This window comes from Homo sapiens, chromosome 2, assembly GCF_000001405.40.
Source record: "Homo sapiens chromosome 2, GRCh38.p14 Primary Assembly".
In the NCBI taxonomy this organism is placed as follows: domain Eukaryota; kingdom Metazoa; phylum Chordata; class Mammalia; order Primates; family Hominidae; genus Homo; species Homo sapiens.
This window is the reverse complement of record NC_000002.12, coordinates 47,543,470-47,571,161: the sequence shown is the minus strand read 5'-3', so window position 1 is coordinate 47,571,161 and position 27,692 is coordinate 47,543,470. Positions and strand designations below refer to the sequence as shown.

The following is a 27,692-nucleotide window of genomic DNA, read 5'->3' as shown; positions in this document are numbered from 1 at the left end:
GGAGGAGCAAGACGAGGTTCCCCGGCGGAGTGGTAGCCCGCACCGCAGTCGGACACCTGCTCCGGTGCCCCGCATTGGTGCCGCCAGAGCCACCGGGAGGCGTCGCAGCAGCCCAACTCTCCACCCCCTCCCTCCTGTCCCTACTCACCCCTCCCCAACACCCCGCCCCGGGCGCCAGTGACTCCGCCTCTCCCTGCCGGGCGGCTCTTCGGCTGGAGCTGAGAAAGGAGCGCTTCCCCGGACTCGGCTCGGCTCCGAGGCTCTGAAGCCGACGCCGCCAGCTCAGCCCCGGGGGCGGGAGCAGGACTGCCCGCACAGCCCGCACCTAGGAGGCGCCGATCCCGAACGCCTCATGGGACGCCCCCGGGGGCTCTCTCCACGCCTTGCTGCCGCGTCCCGGTCCTAGGCGCCCGGGATCCACGGCCCACCCCGCCCGCAGCCCGCGGCCTGTCTGGAGAGGAGTATGAGGCCCGGGGCCCCGCGGACGCCGGCCACCGGGCGGCAGGGGCCTAGCTGCGGAGCCCCGCGCCCGAGAGCGGCGGGTAAGGAGCCGCGGGAGCCGGCGAGGCGTCGGGGCGCGCAGAGGAGCGCCCCTGCCCGGGCACCCGCTGGGCCACGGGACTCGCGTGTGGCCTGAGCGCCGGGGAGGAGGCGGAGGCGCCCCTCTGTCCGGGCTCTGGGAAGGCGACGAGGGGCTCTGCGAAGGCGGCGAGGGGCTCCGCGGCGGCCCCGGACCCCTGGCCACCATCCTCACGCTCCTGCTCCCGCCGGGGGGATGTCGTGGCCCGGGCCCCGAGCGCCGCCCCGGCCCCGGGGCTGAGCTCCGGACCATGTCCTCCCGCAGCCCCCGGCCCCCGCCCCGCCGTAGCCGCCGCCGCCTGCCGCGCCCCTCCTGCTGCTGCTGCTGCTGCCGCCGTTCGCACCTCAACGAGGACACCGGCCGCTTCGTGCTGCTGGCGGCGCTCATCGGCCTCTACCTGGTGGCGGGTGCCACAGTCTTCTCGGCGCTCGAGAGCCCCGGCGAGGCGGAGGCGCGGGCGCGCTGGGGCGCCACGCTGCGCAACTTCAGCGCTGCGCACGGCGTGGCCGAGCCAGAGCTGCGCGCCTTCCTCCGGCACTACGAGGCCGCGCTGGCCGCCGGCGTCCGCGCCGACGCGCTGCGCCCGCGCTGGGACTTCCCCGGCGCCTTCTACTTCGTGGGCACCGTGGTGTCAACCATAGGTGAGCGGCGCGTCCCCCGCGCATCTTTCCTCTCTGTGCCTTTCACCTGCCGCCCTTTCCACTGCTCGGCCGCTCGGTCCGCGTCCCTCGGCTCTGCCTTCCCTTCTAATGTCCCTTTGCTTACTTTCGTCTCGCCCTCTTCTCCGCCGGCCCCCGTTCTCTCTCTCTCTCTCCCTCCCGGCTTTCAGTGAGGGAAGAAAGCCCACCTCTGGCGCTCACCCCGGGCCGCCTGTGCTCCAACACTGGCCGGCTCTGTGATCTGACCTTTGTGAGCCTCCGTTTTCTCCTCTAAGAATACGTGCCAAGGGCTACCGGTTCCTTCCTGTTTTCCACCCACAACCCCCAGGCCTCAGTTTCCTCTCCAGGATGATCTCAAAAGCCCCTTCTCCCTCCACCCTCGGCGCTTTTATTTCTTTTCATAGTCTCCCCCGCTTTCTTCTTTTACCCTGTTTTCTCCCTCAGTGGCCTCTAACTCCTTTACCCTGGAGAGGGTGACCACTTGCCCCAGGATCACTTTCCCTACATCTCCTTCCCACTTGCTTCTCCTACAGTCTATACCGCCCCCCAAAGTAAAGCCCGTTAGCCTGAGGCCAGGACTTCAGCTGCTGTTGTTCTGCCTCCCTTCCTTGTGTTCTCCCCCAGCTCCCAGCCCCTTCTCCAATTTCTTGACCCTTTTTTTGTTCCCTTGCCACTTTTTCCAACCATTAGTGGTACCAAGGGGTAGCTGGGAGCAGGGATAGTTCCCCTATTCTTTCCATCATCTCTTCTCTCTTTTTTTGGATATAAACAGTTCACGTTTTCTCAACCTTATGAAGAATGCTGTGTCAATACTCCTTCAGGCCCCCACCCCTCCCTCTGTGGCCAGATTGCTGCCTCTGAGCTCCTGTGGAGAAATTCTGGAGCCACCCCTGCTCTCCATCCACCCCTTCATTCCTCTTTCTTCCTCTCCTCTCACTCACTTTTCCCATCCCCCACTTTCCCTGGGCCCTGGGTGTCATGTGAAACAAAGCCCCCACCCTCGGTTACTCACCTGTATAGAGTGCAGCAGAAACGCATGCTTATCACCTTGACAAGGCTGTGTGTGTCCCCCCACTCCTGCTTTGAATCCCAGGATGGAAGAAGGCACTTGGCTGGTCACACCTCTAGTCACCCTAAGGCACTCTCTCCTGTGCAGTTTTGGAGGAGGGGGCTGGATTTGCTGGGCTTGAGAAGTGAGGGATTTCATAGACACACCTTCTGGAGTGGTTTGGTATGCCAGTTCAGATACAGAGGCATGGACTGTAACTGCCCAGGATAAGCCACAGCAGATGGCTGGTTGGAGGCAGGGAGAGAGGCTGCCTCCATGTGCAGCATATGAGCAGCTAGAGATGTCTCTCTAAGTGTATATGTATAGTCTATGAAAGCACTTCCTTGCCTTCAATGATTTTTCATGTGTCATGCTTGATCTGATTATTTTAAATAGAAAAGGCAAATATGGCCCAAGTCCAAGGCACACACAAATTGGATAAAAATACCCTTTAAAAAGCTATATCATGTTGTTATGGTGATAGAAGATATAAAATGACCCCCTCAAAAAAAATCCCCTTTTAAGAGCTGCATCAAGTTGCTATAGCAACTAGAGTTTTTTTTTTTTTAAGTGCTTTAAAAGTACTAAGGATGCTTAGTCCTAGAGGATGACATCATGCATCCATAGCTCATTGTTGACTTGTGCTCTTCTTCTTGTAAACACGCCCTTTCCCTTTCTTCCACCTAGAGGCACCTGTGCACATATTGGGTGGTCATAGCACTTTCTCCCAGTGACATGTTCCGGCTTCCTAATGGAACCCACAGGCTAAAGGGGAAGCTGTTGGCAGTGTCCCTTTCCTTTTTGGGCCATGAGTCCATCCAAATAAGGCCCCATTCCAATGGCCTGTGGTCTCTGTGCCTCTCTGATGAGCTCCATCAATCTGTCATTCGGTGCTCCTTTGGAGGCACTGATTCTGAGCCCAGCCACAGCTTCTAAAGCTTCTCTTTCAGCAGTTTACACAAAATCAAGTCAGTGTGTTGGGAAATTGTTCCATGCCCCAGCCTTTAGTCTACTGGCAGGATTGACTGTTCTTTAGTCAAGTGGAAAGGAGCTATATTCTCTTTCTTGATTCGTGTTTTCAGATGTAGGCAAGCAATGTAGGAGGGCTACACTGAAGCATGTGGTTATATTACGAGTGACCCAGCACGTTGCTTCCAAAATCTGCGGGGAAACATTTAAACCAGCCTGTGTACAGCTCAGGGTTGAACCAGGCCTCTGTGAGGATGCCAAGACAGCCACAAAAGTAGCAGGGTCTCTGCTGATTATTGCCCCTGCTGGGATATTCTGGGGTCAGTGGTTCAAATTGGTCACTTCCATCAGTCAGATAAGTTCTGCTGAATCCCCAAGTAGCATAATTGGCATTTCAGCTTTCTCTTTGCAAAATGCATTTGGATGAGGTTTAAGTAAAGATCTCCACAGGTCAGTTTCTCTTCTGCTTACATAGTTCCTTTCTCTTAAATGGCCTGAATCTTCAAAGACAATTATTATTATTATTATTGATGCTTGTATGGGTTCAACAGATCAGGGAGCAAAACCTCAGTCCACAAAAAATGGGCAGTCAGGATTCTTTATCTGACTCTTTATCCAATGAAGAGGAAAATTAGCACATACTCAGTTTTATTTGATGAGTGAGTATCACAGTGTATATGGTTCATACAGTGCTGTGGAATTCAGGGGAACAAAATGATTTGATTCAGCTATTTATACTGCCTAATCAAAAGGACATACGTATGTGTGTGTGTGTTGTGTAGACCCAGATATGTGATTCATCTAGACTTTAGTATTGGAAATCTTTCCTTCCATTCATTCCGTAACATGATTGTATGTATCAGGCTGTATTTTGAAAGGTTAAAGCTTACTCTGCATGGCAGAGATTAAGGCATATTCCAACATGGGCAGCTGGATCACAGCATTTATGAGCAACGTATCTTGGCCATCCTCACTGAAGATGATTAGAACAAGAAGGGGACCTTTTTGGTCCAATCTCATGTGGCACAGGGTTAGGGGACTTGTCAGTGGTCACACAGTTAATGAGGGGTTCAGCTAGGTCCAGAAACCAAGTTGTGCAATATCCACCAATTTCATGCATATAATTGGTGGGAACGTTCTTGTTTGAGATTGCAATATTTAATAATGTCTGTCTGTCTGAGTGTGAGAGAGAGTGTATGTGTGTGTAACCAGGGCAGGGACTGGTCTGCTGGTCTATTGGTCACGTCATCAACTGATTAAGTCCAGAGAAAACTTGAAGGACAAGACAGATTTACAGGCCAGACAAGTTAGAAGCATCTGGCAGGTCTTAGTTAGCTAGACAGGCAAAAGCCAGCCTAAAGGGCAGAGATGGGGTACTAGCAAGTAGGAGAACTTCTGGCAAACTGTGGTCTAAGGACAGAAGTCACTTGCTTTCTGCCCTTTTTTGCACCAGTGTGTGTATGTGTGTGTGCACGTGTGTGTGTACACACGTGCACACACACACTCTTGAGAGCACATGTGTATAGAGGAGGGGAAGAAGGAGCAGGAATGGGCTTTCACCTGGTGGAAGACGTAATGAAAGGTTCAGGTATGGCTGTGTGTACTCAAGGTTACATGGAACACCACAATGAAGTAGAATGTTTGTCCTGATATTTGGTTTGAACAGGGCCCCGTATCCACAGCTGGGCAGTTTGCAATCGTGTAGATACACGTGTGTCTACACAGTGCGGTACCAGTGGAAAATTTTGCCTGTGATTATTCAGCAGCCGTTCAGGCTGTGTAGAAAGTCAATCTGAATAGCTCAAGCGAAATAAAAATCCACTTTGTGGTCTAAATTATTCATACCGATTGCTTACACTGAACTGAAATCCTGGGTAATTATTATTTCTCCCATTTATGCTATGTGACATATTCCCTGGGGGTTGAAATCAAGTTTGTTTTAATGTGAATGTATCCATTTATTCATTCTGCCAATTAAAAAACATCTAAGACAAGCATCACTCATCATAGATGCATGTGTGGCCTTTGGCATGTTGTCTGCACTTCCTGTGATTGTATGAACTCCTAAAGATAAAGATAACTGTCTTGTGTTCTTTTAGCACGAAACAATATTCTTGAAGACAGTATTCCAGCTCAGAGATATTCCAAACAATCCAAACAGAATTAACCCATCACTTCACATCCTAAAGGATGTTTATCAGTTAACTTTGAAAAGATTAAATGGAAACTCTCCACTGGGGTTTTAATTATGCATCTGCTGTCAGATTTACACATAGGAAAGAACATATTTTAAAATCTTTCTCAAATGGCAGCTTGATATAAACAGAAATATTTTTGCTTCCTTTTATTAGGTTTTCTGGCAGCGTTTTTTAGCTATAAAGCTAAAATCATGCCGCTGTAGACGGGATGGTGTAGGTATAAGAGTTGTCACTTTTGGCACTGCATAATTTAGCTTGCTACTTTCAGAATTAGGCACACTTAATTATTCAGCCACGAGATTAGTAACAAGTCCTAACTTTTTCCCTCTTTTTCAACATGGATTTTTAAAACTCTTTTTGCTACAAAGGAAACTAAGACATTATAAGCCCAAAATGTCACTACCACATTTACATTCAACTTTCTTCTAACATGTATGTAATCCAGCTGGAGATAGTTTTGATATCTGGAATGAAACACATTATCCAGAAGGAGAGGCGCATCCTTCCTTGCGTATTTCTCTCATCAACTTTTTTTTTTAAAGAGACACAGTCTTACTCCATTGCCCAGGCTGGAGTACAGTGGTGCAAACACAGCTTACCATAGCCTCAACCTCCTGGGCACAAGCAATCTTTCCACCGCAGCCTCCCAAGAAGCTGGGATCACAGGCACACATCACCACACCTGGCTACTTTTTTTTTTTTTTAAGAGACAGGGCCTCGCTACATTGCCCAGGCTGATGTCAAACTCCCGGGCTCAAGCAATCCTGCTACCCCAGCCTTTCAGCGTGCTGGGATTACACCCGGGAGCCACCAGCCACCATGCCCAGTCTCATCAACTATTTTTTATTGAAAGATGATGCTGTGACAGCTTTGAAGGACATTTAGGAAGAAAATATCTCCTTAAATTTGAAACTCTGGGTGGAGAGCAGGAAATGTATTACCATTCACTGCTCCATCCTCAGCACCCAGCATCAGACCTAGCCCATAGTAAACAATATTTATTATATGAATAAGAGAACAAGTCATTCATGATACCACTGCACTAACACAACTCTTCATGTCTGCACGTTCCCCTGCAGTTCCTTGTCATGCCTTTTGTAGGAAAAAGAAAGGAAACTAACTGATGTGTACTGAGCTGCTTCTGTTTTATTAACATTTTATTACTGATGTTGTTTCTGTGTTTTCACGTAGTCTAATTTTAGTGGGTGCATAATATTCCATCTAGTTGATGTTCTGTAATTCACTACCCCTATTGCTGGATAGCTGGGTGTTTCCCAGTTTGGGGCTATTTTGAGTAATGACACAGTGATCATCTTTACGCAAGATGGCCTTTTCTTTCTGTGATATCTCCTTGGGATGACTTCCAGCTGGTGAAATTGCTGAGTCAGTGGGTACTGCTGTCTTCATGGTGCTTGTGGCCAGCCCCTTTGGAGCGAGAGACTGTCTGGTCTCTTTGTATCTGAGCCTATGCCTCTACAAAGCCTAGGAGCGACTGGACAGTTATCCACCTAATTGCTCCATGGAAAGGGGCCGCACATCCACTTGGTTTTCTCCAGGACTGCACTCAGTTCCAGGAGGTGAGCTGCCTCCCGAACAAGCCTGTGGCGTTAGGATCTTCAACCTCCCTTGTTTTAATGAGAGCAGCTTCCTTTGGGAAGTTCTGGGAGAGTGGAGAAAGGTAAGAAGAAAAAACAGGTGGGGGCACTGCCAGGCCATCAAAAACTGAGACAAGAAAGGTACCTGGATCCCCCTGCTCTCCCCTGGACTCCCAGGAATGGTCTGCCGCTATTCCTGGGCCAAGCCAGCTGAGAGAGAACATATTTCCACTCAGTCTTGACTATGCCCAAGGGCCTCCGCGTCGAACAGCTCAGAATTGTGCCGAATGGAGCAAAGGTACACTCCTAGAGTATTCTAGCTGGAAGCACCACAAAGATCCTTCATAACTTTCCCCAGGCATGTAGACCATTTTGTCAACAAAAGCCAACAATCAGCCCATTATAGCAAATAGGAGCAGAGCTGCTGTAATTAGGGGTGGGGGCTGGAGTCCGGACCAGTGGGCCTTTCCTCAGTTGCCGCCCGCTCCCTGAAGTCTTCTCTGAAGAGCCCTAGAGCATCTCCAAGACCAGCCCAAAGCGGGTGAATTTACCCTTGTTCCTCATTTTACACAAGGCTCAGAGAGGAGGAGAGGTTGCCCAAGTTACCCAGCAAGTCAAAGGGGGATTCCCTGAGAGCTTGCGCTCTCATCCTCCCTAGAAGAGTTACATCAATATTGCCAAAGGTAGGTGTATCTCTCTCACTCTCCCACACCCTTTCTTACACACATAATTCTCACACAAACAGCACACACAGACACACACACACACTGCTCACATAGACAAGTAGAGAATCCAGTACAGTTCTGAGAGGGCACCAAGGCTTCCCAGAAGGGGTGAGTGTTGCGCTACGCACAGAGGGGAGGAGCTGGAGAGAAGGGTGGGTATCTGAGGAGCAGAAGGCAGGCTGAGTGACTTGTGAGGGGGCTTTGGGTAAAAACTCCTGCTTGATCTGGAGATGGTGGTGGTAGCCTTGGGTAAGTGTTCAGTAAGTGTACCCATCCCTGACACCTGGAGCAGCACTCCCATGCCTTGTTTGGCTGCCTCAGATTCAGAGGATCTTGGAAACAACAAAAGGCCGTTGGTCTATTCCTGTGTCACCCCCAGCTCTGGAGTCCTCCCCAAGTTTTCTGGCCCTTCCATTTTTTCCGTCCAGTTCCACTGACTTTCCGGGGTCGGGGGCTCTGCATGGGGCCACCAGCCAGCAATCCGGAAAGTGTGTGGAGCCCAAGGTGGGTGCTTTGGGCAGAGTCCAGCCTCTGATCCTCACCAAAGTTTTTTTAAGAGACACGGTCATACTCTCTGCAGAGTTTCTACACGGGGAGAGTTGGTGAGGAACAGGGGGTGGAGGGGCTTGAAACTGCAGGAAGCACAGCAGTTTCCAGGAGGTTGGGGAGGTGCTGGTAGAGAATGAAGAAGGGTACTGAAGCCCCTTGGCTCTCACCCTAAGCCAACTCTTGGCTACCACTGCTATGAGACTCTGGCCCCAGGAAGTTCTACCCCAAACCCTGCCATTCCCTAGCCACCTACCAGGGGACTCTAGGTCCCCTCTCCAAGTGGCCACTGGCTGTGGTGGAGAATGCTCCGGACTCTGTCTTGTGAGTGCTGCCTCCTCCCTGCGCTTGGCCAACCCCCAACATGGGGCTAAGTTCCTGGCTTACTAGCAGGTCAGTGGTAACTGGTGTGCCTGGGCCCTTAGAAAAATTGAGCCCTGGGGTTTCTCCTCCATCTGCTTCCTCCAGATCCCAGAGGATCTCATTCCAAGGTGACCTCAGGATGAAGCATCCAGAATCTTGTAATTGCAGATTTTACAATGTTCACAGTGTCTTTATACTCAACAGCAACAGATGTTACAGACCAGGAAGGTAGGATAGCATGCAGCAGTGCTTTTCAAACTGTAAGGTGCCTGGAACCACCTGGGAATCTGCTTACCAAGTAGTTTCTGTTGAGTAGGTCTGGGGTGGGACCTGACAGTCTGCATTCCTCATGAGCTCCTGGCAATGCCTATGCTGATGCACTTGGAGTCGCTAGGGTAGAGAGAACAGCGGTGAGTCAGGCACTAGGAGTCTAGACCTGGCTCTGCCACTAACTGGCTGCGTGGCTTTAGGCAGGACATATCACCATTCAGTGCCTCAGTTTCTCCCTTACTAAAAGAAGGGAATGCCCAAGGTCCTTTGAGCCCCTTCTTAGCTCAGATGTTCTTATATCTGGGAAGACTATTGGCTCATATCCTTCCTTCCAGTATAGTTTAGTGTCGACTCTAAACACACCAGCACTGCAGCCAGCCTGCTTGCCTGGATTCACGTCCTAATTCTTAAGTATTCAAACTGTGTGGTTCTGGTGAGTGGATATACTTCTCCTTGCCTCAGTTGCCTCCTCTCTAAAGTGAAGACCATGATGGTTCTTACCCCATGGGGTTACTTTAAAGACTGAAGGCTCTAACCCATGGGTGCAGTGCCTGGTAACCATGAGTAGCATCTGCTCCCCAGATCTCGGCAACCCTGTTGGTGAGCCCTGCCCTGCCTCTCTGTGAAGGAGGGGAGGCCAAGGCACATTTCCTTCCCTGTAGCTCACCCGGCCACACCACCCTGTGCATGGTCCAGTCCTCTGGGCCTCAGCCCCCCTGCTGTGTGGCACCTGCTGCACTCTGGTTGGTCACTGCCTCTCGGGTGTGTTGTGTCCTATGCTGTTACATAACCAGCCTGGAAGGGTACTTTTGAAAATGCATTTTCTTTGGGTCCTCAACTAGAATATCTTAATCATCCCTCATAGGCGCAGTGCTCTTTAATCATTGTCAAGGATGTAATTGGTGGATAACTGAATGAATGATTGAGTGGTGAGTTAGACCAGTGACATCCAGTGCTTCTCTGCCCCCCACACCCGGAGCAGAGCCCTGGGCAGCCACAATCCTGGCCACCCTCCTTGTTTCCAGGTGTGCTGAGGCCTCTTGGCAGTGCTTAGGCTGAGGAGGAGGTCATGGAGTTGAAGAGTAGCAGGGAAGCCAGATGCTGGCTGAGGCCAGGTCCCGCCACACTTCTCTGAGGTGGGTCCAGTGTCATGGCTGCTGGGTGAAGGTCGCTGAAGGAAGGCACTGCAGCAAATAGCCCCATGTGTGGGTGCCAGGCTGCTGCTCCCTGCACCCCAGGGCTACCATGACTCCCTGGTGGGTGGAGGAAGCACCGGGACCCCCTTCCCAGGCAGAAGCCTCCCGGAGCAGGACAGGATCTGGGGCCAGGGGAGGCCACAGAGCCCACCAGTATCTCCCCTTTCCAAACTCTCCATCATGCCAGCAGCCAATGCCTTTGTTCTGGGGAGTGAGGGGGATAACTGAGGCATTGTTGGTCTCCCTGATTGACTCCCCTCCCTGCCACATGTCATGTTTGCCAGTTCACTGTGTTTTTATCTGTGTTTACTCAGTAAGCTCCCAAAAATCCTAGGACAGCAAAGAAAATTATATCCCATTTCACAGATGACAGGCTCAGAGAGGTTAAGCAACTTTCTTGGCATCACACAGCAAGTCAGTCAATGGCAGAATAGAGGATCCACGGCTCCTGACTGCTCAAGATCTCTGCTGTCTCTGAATTGTGCAGTTCCACAGAGGGGGAAGAACCATAGCCCAGCCTGGGGTCTGCAGGGTTGTGTGGGTGGAGGAGGAGGATGAGGAGGCATCAGTGAGAGCTGAAGCACAGTTTGGGGACTCTGGGATTTGGCTGTGCTGTGCTTCTGGCAGTGTCAGTGGCTACACTAAAGCGAGGGCTGCCTGCTTCCCATCCTTCGCCACCTAGTACCTCTCTGTGAAGGAGGCTGCCAACCAGATCGGAGAGGGTAGAGCACGTGCTTCCCACAGAGCTCACCAGAACTCTGGGAACTTGTTGAAGAGGACCGAGCTCCCGCCCAGACCTGAGAACCCTCAGCCTTGCACTGGAAACAGCTGCAGTGGGCATGGACAGGCGGGACAGAAAACCAAAAAAACAGGAGGGCCTCCCTTAAGCACACCAGCAAGGAAAGCCTGGGGACATAGCCAGCTCAGAACTCGCCTCCTGAAGGGTGGTTGGCTTGAGGGAGACTCTGCCTAAGGTCATGTCCTGAAACAGACCCTGCCTAGACCTTGCACCAAGCGCCTGCCAGTGCTACTCTCTTCTCTAGCCACCCTTAACTTCTGTCCCCCTTACCTCGCACTTTAAGCCTCTAGGCTGTTACATATGCTGTACTCTCCACCTGGAATGCCCTTCCCTTCCTCCCTGTTTTCTACCAGGTGAAATCAGTCTTCAAGATCCAGCTCAAATGGTGCCACTAGAGAGGGACCTACTGTGAAGTCCCTCTTACTGCCCTCAGACCTGTGCCAATCATTTGTTTCTATGCCAGCTTCCCCATCTGCGAAGTAAGCCACCGTTCAGTGGGTTAAGATGTGTCTAAAGCTGGCCCAGGGCCCAGCACATAGTAGGTATGCAGAAAACGTAGTTTCTTCTTTCTCCACCTCAGAAGCTACATCTTAGTAGTGCTTGTCACTGTTACAATTAATAACATGATAATAACCATCATGGCAGCAGCTATGCATTGAATGACTACTTCGAAGTGCAGCAAAGAGGTAATTTCTGTCAATCATGGAGCATAATACTTGGCACAAAGTAGGTGATTAATCAACATATGTTGAGTGGATGGAATGAATGAGTAACTGAAAACCCTGGACTGCTGGAAATTAACAACAAAAAATAAAAACTGAGCAAGCTGGGCCCAGACCACGTTTCCAGAACCTCCCAGGGCCTCCCTGCTGGGCTCCCCACTCCTACAGCTGGAGGGGCTGGCTGTGCATGAGCCCCTCTGCTGGGCCGTTGCTTTAATGCTCTCTCAGTGGCTGGCAGGTGTGCAGCAGGGCAGCCAGCTCATTCTGGAGCTCCCCTCCCTGGCAGTGCGTTTCCATGGCTCTCTGAGTCAGCTGGGTCCTTATCCTGACCCTGCCCTGGACTGAAACCAAACTAGACAATTCTAAGCCTCAGCCCTTGTTACCCTCAGAAAGCAGTAGGAAAAGTTCAGTTCTGAACTAGGGGGGCTTCTGGTCCTAGTTTTCCCACTGACTCAGATTTCCTATCTGGCCCTGGCCTTGGCCACATCTCTTAGCCATAAAGAGGCCCTGCTCAATTCCACCTCTCAGTCCAGTGGTTCTGCCTTTTCTCTTCACCTGCCCAGGACACATTCCTTAGAAACTGGAGGTTGCTTCACACATTTGACGGAAGTTTAATCAGTAATGAAATGCAATTCCACAAACCAGGAAAAGCCACCCCCACCCACACGGCCCAGCACCATCACAATGCCTCCAAAAATACTTGGGGAAGCTTTTATTGGAATCAGTTGTCCTAGCTTTCTGGAAAGTTTCAGTTGAGATAAACGCAAACTCCGAATCGCACTCCGCGTGACTCCTCTCTAATCCTTTCCAAATGGCCATGATCCTCTTCCCTGCTGCCAAGTGTTCTGAATTCTGAGCGCCTCGTGTGAGCCTGTTTAGCTGCTAACACCAGGACCTGCCAGGAATTCTGCAGGGACAGCCCAGGTGCGAGGGGGAAAGGTAGGCACGGGCCTCTGCCTGTGCTGAGTGTGTTGGCATTTCCTAGGGGCGGGGTGCATTTTGGAGGCCATGCAGGTTTGGATTGCTGGGTTCTCTTCTAAAATGGAAGGTCGGGAAAGAAAGCTGAGATTGCATGGGAGCTAATTCTGAAGGTCTGGCAGCCTCAGTGGCAGGCAGGGAAGAGGTCCTTGCCTGTGTCAGTGCAGAAGTGGGACTGCAGGGCCTGCCCCTGCCAGCACCCTCTTTGTCACTCCCCACACTTCCTGCTGGTTTGGCATGGAATCACTTGTGTGACTGTGTGCTTAGCATCTGCTTCTCTTGCCAGATTCTGGGTTCCTGGAAGATGAGAACGCTATCTCCTCCATTCCCCTCCATGTCTCCAGTGCCTGGCACAGGGCATGGCACATGGGAGGGGCTACAGAAATATTTTCAGAATCAATGTAAATTTGAATGAATGGCCGTTTCCAAGATTCCCAACTCTACCTAGGCACCTGTTTTATAAAAAGTAAAATATGATGATCAGATGATGACCTGCTTTGTAAAAGAAGGCTTTGCTTCTCAAAGGGATTCATTCCAAAGCTCCTGTAAGCAGCAACATACCCCATTATATTTAAAGAGAGATGTAACTTGTAACCAATGTCAGGAACCCAGCAGCTGCATGAAGTCCACCTTACTGCCGTTTCTACCTTCACAGTCCCCGAATCCCTAAGGCATCTCAGTTCCTAACATCAAATTAGTGAGCAATATACATGACCCAGAAGGCAGTTCAGCAGAGTATATAACAAGAGCTGAAGTGGGTCATACACCTGTACTGATTGGAGTTGTTCGGGCCTCTTGGTGCAGTCAAGCAGAGATTGGATTGTATGCCTAACATACGGAAATTGCCTTACAAAGCTCCTTGATGTGCATTGTTCAGCCGGGCAGGTATGCATTATTCATGTATCCATTTTAAGAATGAAGAAATCTGCATTGCCAAGTGACAATTTGCAGTACAATGTAGTGGTTAGGGAGAGAATGCTGGGGGCCCTGGTCTTGGGTATGAATTTTAGCTTGTCTTGGTCTGTTTTCTGCTTCCATAACAGAATATCACAGACTGGGTAATTTATTAAAAAAAAACAAACAAAAAAAAGTTGATTTCACTCACCATTCTGGAGGCTGGGAAGTTTATGATAGAGGGCTCTGGCATCTGGCAAGAGTCATCCATGTGGAAGGCATCACATGGTGAGCAAGTGCAGGACAGAATCAGCCCAAACTCATCCTTTTATCAGGAGCCCACTCCCGCAATAACCAACCCACTCCAGTGATGATGACATTAATCCATTCATGAGAACAGAACCCACATGATCCAATCACCTCTTAAAGTTCTCACCTCTTAAAAGTCTTACAATAGCCATTGGATTTCAACGTAAGTTTTGGAGGAGACATTCAAACCATAGCAAGCTCTGTCATTGGGGTTGCCAGCATGCATCTCCTGCCCATTCACTGAAGTCTGCCTCACTGAGTTCCTCTCCAGCCTTCTCCAGCCTCCCACAGATGATGCATCCAAGAACTGGGCTCCTTAACCATCTCATCTATAACCATATTTCTTTCCATCCCACCCCAGCAGGTCATTTGGTTCTATCTATGTATGTCCTTGCTATTACTAGTAACTGCATTACCTTCAAAGTTTTTGACTCTAAACATCTCACCTCTGACCACCACCTCCCATGCTTCCAGCTCCCATCCTCTGATATCACCCTGTTTGGGTGAGATCATAATCCTTTGGCTGTAAGACCTACAGGTCCTTTACACTCCCACTCTTATTTTTCCACCATCTTCTTTGAGCCTGCATTTCTTTTTTAACTCAGCTTGGATTCATTCCCTTTTCAGAGACCCTTAACTTCCTTGCCCCTCTCTCCCTATGTTGTACCCCTATCAAAATACCAACTTCCCACGTATTCTTCATCTGCCCTCAAGCAGCTGAATATGGCTAACAAACTATGCAGAGATGCTGACTGGTCCAACTTTAAATTGGTGACCCTGAGTACCAGCTGGACACTCCACACTGGCAGCACCCCCCACATCCCACTGTACTTCCTACTGTGTCCACCACTTATCCTCCCTCTTCCATCTTTAGCCTCCCATTCCCCTCACTCTCTGCTAACTACCTTTCTTTCACACTCCATTGAGGTAATAAAAGTAATCAGAAGTAATCTTCACACCCCTAAATCCACCCACCATGTGGAGCTGCTTTCTCTCCTGTGGCAGTGGATGAAGTGCCCACTTACAAATGCCAGCTTCACTGGGTCTCACTTCCTCTAACTTCCTCCAGGGCTTAGTTCCTGTCATTACCCACTCCCCATGCATTGTTAATTTATACTCCATCGGTATGCAAACATGTATATTCTTCCTTCTTAATAGACCCTGCATCACCCTCCTGCTACTTTCCCATTTCTCTGCCCTCCTTTACAGGAAAGCTTCTGAGAAGAGTAGTCAACCTCTCCCTCACCTGCCCTTCTCCCCTGGATCCACCTCAATCAGGAGTCCAGCCCCACCTTTCCAGTGACTACGTTATTGTAAGGTCCCTAGTGGCCCCCTTCCTAAAAAAATCCAGTGATGACTTGCCTGTCCTCAGCATCTCAGCAACATTTGACATGGCTGACCATTTATCCTCAAACTCCTCTTTTCTCTTGGCTTCCAGAACATCATGCTGTCCTTGATCCTCACTGGCTGCTTTCCTTGGTCCTTTTTGCTGGATCTCTATGTGACCTTTCAGTATGAGAGGGCCCCATGCTCAGTCCTCACTCTGGACTGTCTCCAAACAATCTCTCACCTGTAGAGGAAAAGCTTTTCCCCTACATTTTCTTATTTTCAGCCGCTAGGGCCCTGAATTAAAAGACAGATTAATAGGAGAAAAGATTTATTGCATATACATATGGAGGCCTTCATAGAAAAGGAATTACCTAAAAAGAAGTTGTATACCATTTTAACAAAGAGTGATAAATTGTGAAGTAATGATGAGATAAAAGGAGTTTGGACTTCTAGAAGTGGTAAATTATGGGAAGATAAATATAGGAGGGAAACTAATGGAGAATAAGCTTTGGTTTTAGTAAGGTTTGTTATGCAGACTCAATCTTGTAAAATCTCTAGAGTGACAGTGGGGTCCCCAGTGATTAAGAGTACAGAGAGGGTAAGGAGGACACCTTGGCAAAGGGAAATTTATGTCCTGCCTTTAGGCAGATAGGGGAGGATAAGGAGCTTTCTTTGCATCTGCTGCTTCCAAATTGCCTGCAGCTCAAAACAATCCTTGTGCTAAAGTGACATATTTGGGGATGGCATACTCTGATCCCCCTCACACCCTTTGGCTTTAAACCCATTTATCTATTGATGAATAACCCATCTTCTACACTAAGCTTCAGAACCATGGGTCCAACTGCCCACTTGACATCTCCACATGGATATTCAATATGTATCAAAACTTTTAAAAGCCCAAAATAGAACTCCTGATTCCTGCTATATCCCACTCTTGACTGTTCCCCTCACAAGCTGTTCCTGCTCCTTGGTACACTGCTCCATGAGTCTTCATATCAATAAATGTCATCCATATAAAGAGTTGTCCTGATTCCTCTTTTTTTCCTAAACTTTCATATCCAATTCATCATCAACTCTTGTCAGCTCAATCCGCATAATACATTCTGATTCCATCCACTTGTCTCGCTGCCCATCACGACCAGTCTACTCCAGCTGTCACCATCATTTCTTGCTGGGGCAACTAAGTTAGCGTTCTAACCAATCCCCCAGCTTTCTCTATGCTCCTTGACAGCCTGTTCTTCACACACAGCCAAAGAGATCTTTAAAAGCGGAAGTCAGGCCAAGTCCTTTGCTTGTTTGAAATCCTTCAGTGACTTCCTGTTGCAAAAAATCTGACTCTTCACCATGACACTCAAGGCCCTGCATAATTTGGCCCTGACCCCTCTTAGCCTCACTGGCACTGCTTTCCCCTTCACTCAATGCACTACAGCCACGCTGGACTTACCCAGATCAGACTTCTGGGCACTTAACACTTGCTGTTCCTGCTGCCTGGCGCACTGCTCTGTGAGTCACGGCATGGCTGACTTCTCTTAACCACATTCAAGCCTCATATCTAAAGCTAAAATGTCACCCTTGAGGAGCCTTCCCTGGTCCCCCTGATTACAGTAGTGTCCCCCACTAACCCCTAGTCACTGTCCCTCACACTATTCTGCCTTATTGTCCTTAGAACATGTACCGTTTTTGGAAATCATCCTGTTCATGAGCAAATAACGTGTTTATGTGTTTGTTTGTTCCCTGACCTCTGCTCACTCCCTGCTCCATGAGAACAGGGTTCTTGTCTCTCTTGTCCACTATTATATTCCCATTGCCTAGCACAGTACCTTGTGTTTGTTGAATAGATGAACTTCCAAAGCTTCCATTTTAACATTTATAAAATGGGAATCATAATAACACCTGTATCATGTGGTGGTTGGGAGAATTATATGAGACAATGAATGCAGGTACTTAGTCTGGCCCTGGTATTTCATAAGCACTTTAATGTGGGCTTATATTTTTATTAATAGATAATCTGGCTGAGTTCACATGTAAGTGGCAAAGCTAAACCCTGAGCTGAGTTCTCTGACCCCAGATCTTTTGTTCTTTCCAGTATGTCTGATGCCACCTCTCAGGTTGCAGGGTAGGCAGGTTTGAAAGAACAGTGTGAGTGAGGTCAGGACCAGCCTGCCTTAAGCAAGTTAAGGAACAATGACAGGTGAAACTGCTTCAATAGGTTAAGGTCATATTGGAGGGCTTTGAAAGCCAGGTGGAAACATTTAAACTTGGTATGGGGGCAACAGGAAACCACTGGAGTTCTTGAACAGGGGTGTAATGTGATCATGACTATTTTAGAAGAAGATTCTGGCACTTTAGTCACTATATAGTTATGCCGTTAAGTCAGGCAACCTCGTTAGTCTAAACTGTTAGTCTCTAGAACTACCTTCAAACAACCAGATAATTGTGAAGTCCCTTGTTTTGGCTGTTCACCTCAAACATTAAATCAGGCCATTATCAACTGTCCCCTCACTTTATCAAGAGCTTACCACTGTACTTCTGCCTGGGTGACAGAGTGAGATCCTGGGTGCCCCCCCACCCCACCAAAAAAAACAGCTTATATATCTCTATCAGTGATAAATCACTGAGGAATATGTGCTTAGTTTGTATATTCAGCTCTGAACTGCTATATGATTCCAAACTTATTCAAGAGGACTGCCAACATGACTTGTTTCTTTACGCGCTCTAAGTGGTTCATAATCTATGCGTTATAATTTTATTTTATAGCTACTGGTGTTCACACTTTAAACAAAGAGCAGAATTCGTCACATTGGACTGAAGAGCTATATACTCTTGCAATGAGGTCTACCTCACAGGGTCATGGGGAGGACCCTTGCATAGCCTGAGAACCAGTAAATGTTTGTTCATTTGTTTATATGGCAGCCCAGGATGCTGAATATTTGTGGCAGGATGAATTGGGTAGAGGGGACTAGGGATAGGAACTGGGGGATCATGTGGCCTTTGGAAAGGAGCAAAAGAAAAGGGGTAAGAGATATTTTCAGGAGCCAAAGACAGAATTTGGTTATCGGCACTCAACAAGACTCAACAAGACCTCTGCTGATCTTGGGTCTTCTTGCTCTCCATTCCCCCCTCATTTCTTGACATCATGCCCACACAGGAAGATCTAGGCAAAGGGGCTGACCGTGGGCCTGGGGATTTCTTTCCTTTTTTTTTCTTTTTTTTGGAGCCAGAGTCTCACTCTGTCATCCAGGCTGGAGTGGAGTGGTGCGATCCCTGCTCACTGCAACCTCTGCCTCCTGGGTTCAAGTGGTTCTTGTGCCTCAGCCTCCTGAGTAGCTGGGATTACAGACATGCACCACCATGCCCAGCTAATTTTTGTATTTTTAGTAGAGATGGGGTTTCACCATGTTGGCCAGGATGGTCTCGAACTCCTGGACTCAAGTAATCTGTCCACTTTAGCCTCCCAAAGTGTTGGGATTACAGGCATGAGCCGCCAGGCTCTACAGGGCCCCAGGGTTTCTAACAATGCATCTGGAGATTTGTGGGCATGTCTCATAATGGGGGGAAGGCAGTTGAAGATGCTGCAGCCACAAAGGAAGTGGGGAATGAAGCAGGCTGAGGCTGGAGGAGGATACCCCTCCTCCAAAGCTGGGCTCAGCAGGGCAGCCCTCCCCTCACTGCTCGGAGATTGCTGAGGGCAGCCCCCTGTGCCCTGCAGGTGGGAAAGGCACTACCATTGGTGGAGGCGGGGGTGCAGCAGAGGTTGGTGTGTGGCAATGACCTTAATTCATAGCATTTTTGTCCCTAGAGTCCCCTTCACTTCCATCTACATTCTTGCTTTATTTCTTTTTTAATGTTTTTCCATAAAGCTTATTCTTTTATAGCTGTTTGTGGCTAAAGGGCATCCTAGCTGCAGACTCGGAGCCAGCACGCTGATAAATTCTATCTCAGTTCCTGACCTTCCCCCCACCTCCCCACCACCGGTCGTCCCCAGGGCCAAACAAGAAGGAAGGAGGTGATGCAGGCCCTTCAGGAGGAGGCCCAGCTCCTCTGGGTTGCAGGATTGAATGAGCCAGTATCTACAAGGCCCTGGCTCTACTCCCTTGTAATGTTTCCAGGCTTTCTCTGTAATGCCACTGTAGTGAGACACATGTCATTCAGAACTCCATGTAGTCCCCTAGATTTATGCACAGTGCAGCCTGTGGCTAGAACTGAATCTTAAACCAATAATCTGCCTTCCCCAGGACTAGCACCAAAATATTTTTATGTGTCAACGAGTCTAGAACTGGAGAGCTCCAGAAAAATATGGTGCCGTGTGGGGTAGGGGGTAATACTGATTTCACACGTCATACTTTCCAGAACAGTTAGCAGGCCCTGTATTCTAATTTGGCATCCAGAAAACATGATTCCCATTGATCCATTTATTCAACAAATATTTCTTGAGCGCTCCACTATGTGCCAGCAACTGAAAATCCCCAGGGATACAGCAGTGAACAAGTAGACAAAGTCCCTAGCTTATGGAGCTAACATTCTAGTTGGGGGAGATAGAAAATAAACATACAAATAAATGTCAGGTGGTGGTAAATGCTGCAAAAAGAACAAAACCAGGGTAAGAATAAAGTGATGGAAGTAGGGTGGTCTGAAAGGGTCTCTTGGATGATGTGACCCCTGAGTGGAGGCTTGGAATGAGGTAAGGGAGTGAGCCATGTGGCTGCCTGGAGGAAGAGGGCTCCAGCCAGTGCCAGGGTCCCTTAGGAGGAGCTTGCAGGGTTTGCTGGAGGAGCCGCAAGGAAGCCAGTGTGTCTGGAATAGTGTTTGGAGGAGGGGCAAGTGGGAGTTAGAATGTGAGCTCAGAGCAGTAGCCAGAGACTAGGTCATGCAGGGTCTCCAGGCCACGGCAAGACCTTTGGGTTTTACTCTGAGTGAAATGGGGAGCCACGGGAGGATTTTGAGAAGAAGCATGATTAGATCCTGAGGCAAAACTTAGGTTAAAAAAAGCAGGGAGACAAAAGAGGCATAACATGATCTGATTTCTAAGACCACTCATTGCTGTTCAAAAAAAACTGTACGGGGGAAATATAGAAGTGTGGGGACTCATTAGCAGGCTTTTGAAATATTCCAGGTGAGAGATGATGATGATTTGGACCGGGGCATGTTTGGTGGAGGCAGTGAGAAGTGATTATATCTTTCAGAAAAGAAATGCATATTTACTGAAGTGTGGGGTTTTTTTCATTGTTTTGTTTTCCTGTTTCTTTTAGCACCTTAAAGATTGTTTTCTGGCTTGCATAGTTTCTGATAAGACGTCTGTGGCCAGGTGTGGTGGCTCACACCTGTAATCCCAACACTTTGGGAGGCCGAGGCGGGTGGGTCACTTGAGGTCAGGAGTTTGAGACCAGCCTGGCCAGCATGGTGAAACCCTGTCTCTACTAAAAGTACAAAAATTAGCCGGGCATGGTGGGACACGCTTGTAATCCCAGCTACTCGGGAGGCTGAGGCAGGAGAATCACTTGAACCCGGGAGGCAGAGGTTGCAGAGAGCCAAGATCATGCCACTGCACTCCAGCCTGGGTGACAGAGCAAGACTCCATCTCAAAAAAAAAAAAAAAAAAAAAAGTCTGTGAATATTTTTCTCTATCTGTAAGTAATTGTGCCTCCTTTCTTTGGCTGCTGTTAAGATTTCTCTTCATTCCTGACTTTCAACAAGTTGATTTTGATGTGCCTTTGTGTAGTTTCCTTTGTGTTTATAGAGCTCCTTGGATCTGCGTGTTTATAAATTTTCTCAAATTTGGAAAGATTGACATTATTGCTTCAAATATTATTTTTGCTACCCTATCCTCTCTTTTTGAACTCCAACTGCACATATGTTAGTCTTAATTTACATTGTTCTGCAGGTAGCTGAGGCTCTTTTCAGTCTTTTTTTGGTTACAGTGCTTTATTTTGAATAGTTCTATTGCTATGTCTTCAAGTTCAACCTTTTTCAGCAGTCTTTAGTATGTTGTTAACTCTATTCAGTGAATTTTTCATTTCAGACATGATATTTTTCCTTTTTTTTTTTTTCGAGGTGGAGTCTTGCTCAGTCACCCAGGCTGGAGTGCAGTGGTGCGATCTCAGCTCACTGCAACCTCTGCCTCCTGGGTTCAAGCAATTCTCCTGCCTCAGCCTCCTGAGTAGCTAGAATTACAGGCGCCCGCCACTGCGCCTGGCTAATTTTTGTATTTTTAGTAGAGACGGGGTTTCACCATTTTGGCCAGGCTGGTCTCGAACTCCTGACCTCGTGATCCGCCCATCTTGGCCTCCCAAAGTGCTGGGATTACAGGCGTGAGCCACCGCACCCAGCCCCCTATATTTTTCATCTCGAGATATTCTACTTGGTTTTAAAAAAATTTTTCCCATTTTTCTCATCATTATGTTTCTCCTTTAAATCTTGAGCATATTTTACATATTTTAACAGGTATTTAAATGCCTTTGCTAATTCCATAATCTCTGGCATTTCTGGGTCTGTTTCTATTGACTATTTTTCTCTTATTTCTGGGTCACATCTTCCTGCTTCTTTGCATATCTGATTTTTTATTAGAGATCAGAACATCATGAATTTTACATTGTTGATGCTTGATTGTTTTGTACTCTTTCAAGCAGGGTTGGACTTTGTTCTGCCAGACAGTTCTTTATAGATCAGTTGATATTTTCCAGACTTGTTTTTAAGCTTTTTAAAGGCAGGTCTAAAGGAGTCTTTTCTCTGGGACTAGATGAGCCACACTATTAAAGAATAACCTTTTTGGGGTCTCTACTGAATGCCTTGTGGATTCAGTGAAACCTTTCCTCCTTTGACTGATAGGAACTCAGGTGATTCCTGGCTTTGTGAGGGCTCTGGAAATTGTTTGGTTTACAGCTCTCTGGAAATTGTGATTTCCTGGAAGTTGTTTTCCTTGGTCTTATTTTTTTCTAGGTTTTACCCTGTACCTGCACAGATTGTTATTCAGACCTTTGCGAGTAACAAAGAGGGACCCCTAGTAGATTTCTGGAGTCCTTTTTCTTGATGGTTCCTTCCTCTCCAGTGCTCCACAGTAGTTACAGCAGTTAAGCAGTGACAGCTGCTTTATCCTCCCTGAACCTGAATTTCTCTCCCCTCAATTCAGCAAGAGTTCTGGGCTCTGTCTGGATCTCTCCACTCCCATGGCTGTCTGAAAGCTGCCACCAGGCAAAAACCAGGGCTTTTGAAGGGCTCACCTTGTTTGTTTCCCTTCTCTCAGGGACCATAATCCTGAACTACCTTTTTTCCAATGTCTGAAAATAATTATCTCATAGACTTTTTCCGGTTTCCTGGTTGATTATGGTGGGAGGGAAGTCTGGATTCAGCTACGCCCTCGTGGCCTGAAGCGAAAGTCAGTGTGTAGAATCTGGATAAGTGTTGACAGTAGGGTGGCACGATTTGTTCCTGGATCAGATGTAGGGTGTGAGAGAAAGCAAAAGAATAAAAAAGGGCTCTAAGACTTTTGCCCTTAGCAACTGCAAGGATGGATTTGCCATTTACTGAGATAGGGAAGGCTGAAGTGGAATCAAGGAGGGGCTGGTTGGGAGGGAGAATCAAGAGCTTGGTTTTGGAAATGTTAATTCTGAAATGACTTTTCCACTTCCAAGCCGGGTGCCAGTTAGATAGTGGATAGGCCAGTCTAGAACTCAAGGGACAGGTTGGGTTTGAGATACAAATTTGGGATTTGCCAGCCTATAGACCACTGGTTCTTAACCCTGGCTAAAGCAATGTTATCATCACTGAAGAAGATACCTGAGAGTGGGTAATTTATAAAGAAAAGAAGATTAATTGGCTTACGGTTCTGCAAGCTACAGGAAGCTTGGCAGGAGAGGCCTCAGGGAACTTACAATCATGTCAGAAGGCAAAGAGGAAGCAGACACGTCCTTCATGGCTGGAGCAGGAGGAAGAGAGCAAAGGGGAAGGTGCTACACACTTTTAAACAACCAGATCTCATGAGAACTTACTATCATGAGAACGGCAAGGGGGAAATCCACCCCCATGTTCCAATCACTTCCCACCACGCCCCTCCTCCAACATTGGGGATTATAATTCAACATGAGATTTGGGCAGGGACACAAATCCAAACCATATCAACTCTAATATGTAGCCAGGAGTGAGAACCACTTATATGTGGTAGGAGTTCGAGACCAGCCTGGCCAACACGGTGAAACCCCCTCTCTACTAAAAATATAAAAATTCGCCAAGTATGGTGGCAGATGCCTCTAATCCCAGCTATTTGGGAGGCTGAGGCAGGAGACTCGCTTGAAACAGGGAGGCAGAGGTTGCTGTGAGTCAAGATCATGGTACTGCACTCCAGCCTGGGTGACAGAATGAGACTCCATCTCAAAAGTAAATAAATAAATAAATAAAGCCCTGCCAATGTCAGCTAGGGGGCTCTGGAAGCTGAGGTGGGAGGATCACTTGAGGCCAGGAATTCAAGGATGCAGTGAGCTATGATCGTGCCATTGCACTCCAGCCTGGGCAATAGAGCCAGACCCAGACGCAAAAAGAAAAAGAAAAGATCACCTAGGAGAGTGGTTCTCAACCCTGGCTGCATATTAAAATTACCTGGGAGTTTTTAAGCCTTGATGCCCAGGTTGTGCCCTAACCAACTGTATCATTCTCTCTGGAAGTGGGGGCTTATGAATTAGCATTTTGTAAAACTCCTCATGAGAGTAATTTCAGTTGCTGTCAAGGTTAGAACCACAGAGTCCCAGGGCGTGTTCGTGGGAGCCAGAAAAGAAGAGATCTGAAGATTGAGCCGCAGTGCCCTTGAAGATGAAGGAGGCTAAGCTAGGAGGAGCTGCAAGAGAGGGCTTACAGGCTTTCCTCAAATGTCTGAACTGTGGCTGTCCACTCACATTTAAGAATTAAAAATAGAAAATTGGACTGGAAACTCAGTGTGCATAGGTGGGGCTTGTGGACTGCGGGCTTTCTTTTTGGGGCAGAGGGTGGGCAGCTACCCATTATCTATATGGCCTTTCCCACACCCAAGTCTCTCCAGGGTTCTTCAGGGCAGTTCCCCTCCCTCCCTCCCCTTCTCAGCTGTACTCCCTCTGAGCTGTGGGTTTCTCCACCTGCCTTCATCAGTTACAGCTCTCTCAAGCTGTCCATCTTGCACAAGCATGTTGAAACTTCTCGGGCCCTTCCACTGTAAACCCTCTGCCCATTCCCTGTGTTATTGCTAGTTTACACCTTTATGTCCTTTTACCATCATTTAAATAGGATCTTAAGAGGGAGAGTAGGTAAATTGAGGTAATTAAATAATCATCTTGAACCAGAAGTCTCCCAACTATTTTTTTGACACTGAGAGTCTCTCTCTGTCACCCAGGCTGGAGTGCAGTGGCATGATCACAGCTTACTGCAGCCTCAACCTCCCTGGCTCAAAAGATCCTCCCACCTCAGCCTCCCCAGTATCTGGGACTATAGGTGCTCGCTACCACACCTGTCTAATTTTTGTAGTTTTTGTAGAGATGGGGCTTTGCCATTTTGCTTAGGCTGCTTCCAACTTTTTAAACATGAGAATCGCTTTAAATGCGAGGAATAGTTTCACAGCACCTGTATGATGGAAGTTACATGTACTTTCAGTATCCGTTAATTAATAGGGAAAATGCATATTGACACACAAAGTCCTCTGAATTAATTCAGTAGCACTTTTAAGTGCATCTTCATCAGAAAACCATTTACATATTTTTGGAAAGTAATAGCATAACCATGTAGGAGAAAGTTAAGGTTGCAAACAACAATTGGTGACCAAGTAGATTGATATGCCTTTGCAATAACTGCAGAGTTCCCAAAGGATTCCAAGCCTGATCATTGGGACTCACAGTTCTAGACCCTAGGAAGCCACTGGAAGTTTTTGAATAAGAGAGAGGGTGTTACTGAAGAACTTATGACACTTGCTTCATTTACAGCTTTTCCCTGTCCATAGTTGCCTCTTTCTCTGGAAGTTTAGTGTTGGATGGGTTCCTCCCTGAGGGAGAGAGCATGTAGATGATACTGGCTGCCCCAGCCCTGAGCAAATTATTTGAGAAAAAAAAAAAAAAGAAGTTAAGTGCAATTCAGTCTCGGCTTTATATTCCATGACCTCCTCTTCTCTATTTTTTTCTTATCTACTCTCTTTAGAAATTCTGTTCCTTGCTGTCCATCAGTTAGCACAAATGGCTTGCATTTTGAGGTGGTCATGCTATTAGCACTATGCTGAGCATTTTACACACTTCTTCTCATTTAATCCTCATCAGCATCCTGTGGAGGTGAGCACAGCTCACATCTCATTTACAGATGAGGAAATTGAGGCAAAAAGAGGCTCAATGGCTTTCTCAGATCAAAGAGCCAGCAAGTGACAGAGCTGAGATTCTAGCCCAGGTGTCCCTGACTCCACAGCTAGTCCCCCTACTCCCCCACAAAGTTGGTGCTGCGAAAATGATGAGGAATTGAGAGACATATGAGCTACTTATAAATGACTGAATTGGGAAAAGACATCCATCTGTATCCAGGCTTCCCAAAGGGTCCACTCTCTGACAGCAGCCTCCCTGGTTTCTTTCAGGGGAAGCTACTTTGCATTTCAGTGGTCCCCAGCCTTTCCAAGCCCAAGTGTGGCTAATGCTACCCTCACTGCAGCCTTTCCTCCAGCCAAACTAGTCAGCAAGACCCTGAACTGTCCCTCCAGTCTTCATTCATAGCATTCTCCCTGCCTGGAGCATCCCTGCCTGTCCTTTACCCTTCATGTATCTAAGGCCCACTCCCTCTTCAGAGCCCACCTTCATCATCCAGGCTTCATGGAGCCTCCTCCTTCATTTGCCTTCTGCCAGTGATGATCTAACCTCCTAGCACCTTGCCATCTCCTCTCTTGTGTATGACTTCCCTCCCCACCCAGACGGTGAGACTCTGCCTTTAAAAATAATGACAAAACGAGTGGTCTTTAATTCACTCGAATAACAGATACTTCTTATAGAACATTTGAAAAAGAGAGAAGCTCAAAAAAAGTGACAGGGAAAAAAAGCCTTTAGCTTCACCACTAAAATAGTACTCCAGGGATTTTTTTGTCCTTGAGTCTATTTTCTGGATGAATTTTGGGTTTTGTTTTTGTGTATTGGTATGTGATGTCAGAATCAACTTTCTAAGCATCCCTCTTGTTGGATGCATAGTATTCCTCAGAAAGGATGTGCCATGGTTTGTTATAAGTGCAACTGCATCCCCCACAGGACCTAGCCTGGGGGACCCACCTAGGAGGGCCCTGGTGAAGACTGTGTGAGTAATTGGGTTGTCTGCAGGATAGGAAAAGGGTGGGTTACACCATGTGGTATGTAAGCTGCCAGGGGGCCATTTAGGAGGCTGGAAAATTACAGAGTGCTCATACTGAGCCTACATCTGCCAGAAAAGGGCGCTTAAAACAAATCCCATGAAATTATAGCTTTTGCAATCTATGAGTTAGACAAGAAAGTACACACGACCAATGTGTTTCAGTAGGAACGCTGCGAACAATGGTGTTAGCCATCACTGGGGGCCTGGGAAGAAAGGGTTTGAAAGAGAAAGGTCTTCCCAAATGTGGTTCTCAGTAAACATTCTTTATGATTCAGAGCTAATATGGTTTATGCCCTCGGCAGAGATGCCAGGGGTTCCCTGGGTTATGAGGCCTTGCTGGAGGGACAGCTCTTCGAAAGGGAAGCGTTACAGGCTGAGACTGTACCAAGCCTGTATGGGAGGGTTCCTTTGGTGTAGCTTTATCCCCGAAACACCACGTGTATGCTGATGGGGAATGGGGGCACAGGGTAGTACAAGATGCTCGTGCTCGTGTGTCTGTGTGTCTGACGTCAGGGTGGAAGGCTGTCTTTGTTTTTAATACTCTGTTGAAGCAGCAGAGTCACTCCAATAGAAAGAGAGGAGACATGGGTGGTTGGCTTTCTAGAATGTTGGCCTTTGGAAGCCACCAAGAGTGGAGGGAAGGCAGGCCCTGCGTACTTATCCCCACATCTGGGAGTCCCTGCTTCCAGGAGCAGTGACAGCCATCCTCCTGGCTCCTTGGTAGAAAGAACCTCAATCCTCCTCCCATCAGTGGCAGAAGTAGCTATGAGGATTGAAGCTGGGTGGGCGATGTCTCAATCCTTGGCAGAAGGATGGGAAACAAAGACTTTAAACATGTTAAACATCCTTTTACAGATCTCCAGAATTATAGTGACAGTGGGGAGAAGGAGGGAATGACCCATCCCCCATCCCGAGCTTGCTAGCCCAGCTCCTGGAAGATCAGCCCCTGGGCAGTGCCAGCCTGCATGACCGTCCTGATCCCCGACTCTGCCCTTTCTGCCAAAGAGCCAGCAGAGCACATGTCTCGGAGAAGACCCCCTATCACCTTCTAGGTTGTCTTGCCACAGAACAGGAGCACCCAGCAATACAGCAGAGCTTCCCACGGGTTTCTACAGTGTCTTCAGAGAACCGCAAGGAGGGTCAGCCCTTGTGGAGTCTCTGACCCAAATTCTGACATTACCTCTATG

The 27,692-nt window shown here is 48.2% G+C and overlaps 2 protein-coding genes across 33 annotated transcripts in view, besides 1 other annotated feature; one reads left to right on the top strand and one right to left on the bottom strand.

Moving 5' to 3' along the window:
- MSH2 (mutS homolog 2) overlaps nucleotides 1–27,692 on the bottom strand; it is a 306,764-nt gene that overhangs the window by 138,669 nt on the left and 140,403 nt on the right. For 3 of the 32 annotated variants that reach the window (NR_176231.1, NM_001406644.1, NM_001406651.1), the window contains one exon: nucleotides 6,277–9,073. The exons of 26 other annotated variants lie outside the window; for them this stretch is intronic. Coding sequence is in view for 3 of the 6 variants with exons in the window: in NM_001406644.1 (NP_001393573.1) it covers nucleotides 9,051–9,073 (23 nt within the window). In the remaining 3 variants the exon portion in view is untranslated. Of the gene's footprint in view, nucleotides 1–6,276; nucleotides 9,074–27,692 lie in introns of those variants that run through there. 3 more of the 32 variants (NR_176232.1, NR_176233.1, NM_001406643.1) reach the window with 2 other exon arrangements.
- KCNK12 (potassium two pore domain channel subfamily K member 12) overlaps nucleotides 177–27,692 on the top strand; it is a 61,696-nt gene continuing 34,180 nt past the window's right edge. Inside the window, exon 1 of the mRNA NM_022055.2 lies at nucleotides 177–1,221. Coding sequence (NP_071338.1) covers nucleotides 831–1,221 — 391 coding nt within the window. The 5' untranslated portion in view covers nucleotides 177–830. The remainder of the gene's footprint in view (nucleotides 1,222–27,692) is intronic.
- Nucleotides 937–1,806: an enhancer, noted in NCBI's record as "H3K27ac-H3K4me1 hESC enhancer chr2:47796495-47797364 (GRCh37/hg19 assembly coordinates)". NCBI's record gives its function as "activates a minimal SCP1, AML or CMV promoter by ChIP-STARR-seq in primed H9 embryonic stem cells {active_cell/tissue: H9 hESC(primed)}" and the evidence as "EXISTENCE:reporter gene assay evidence [ECO:0000049][PMID:30033119]".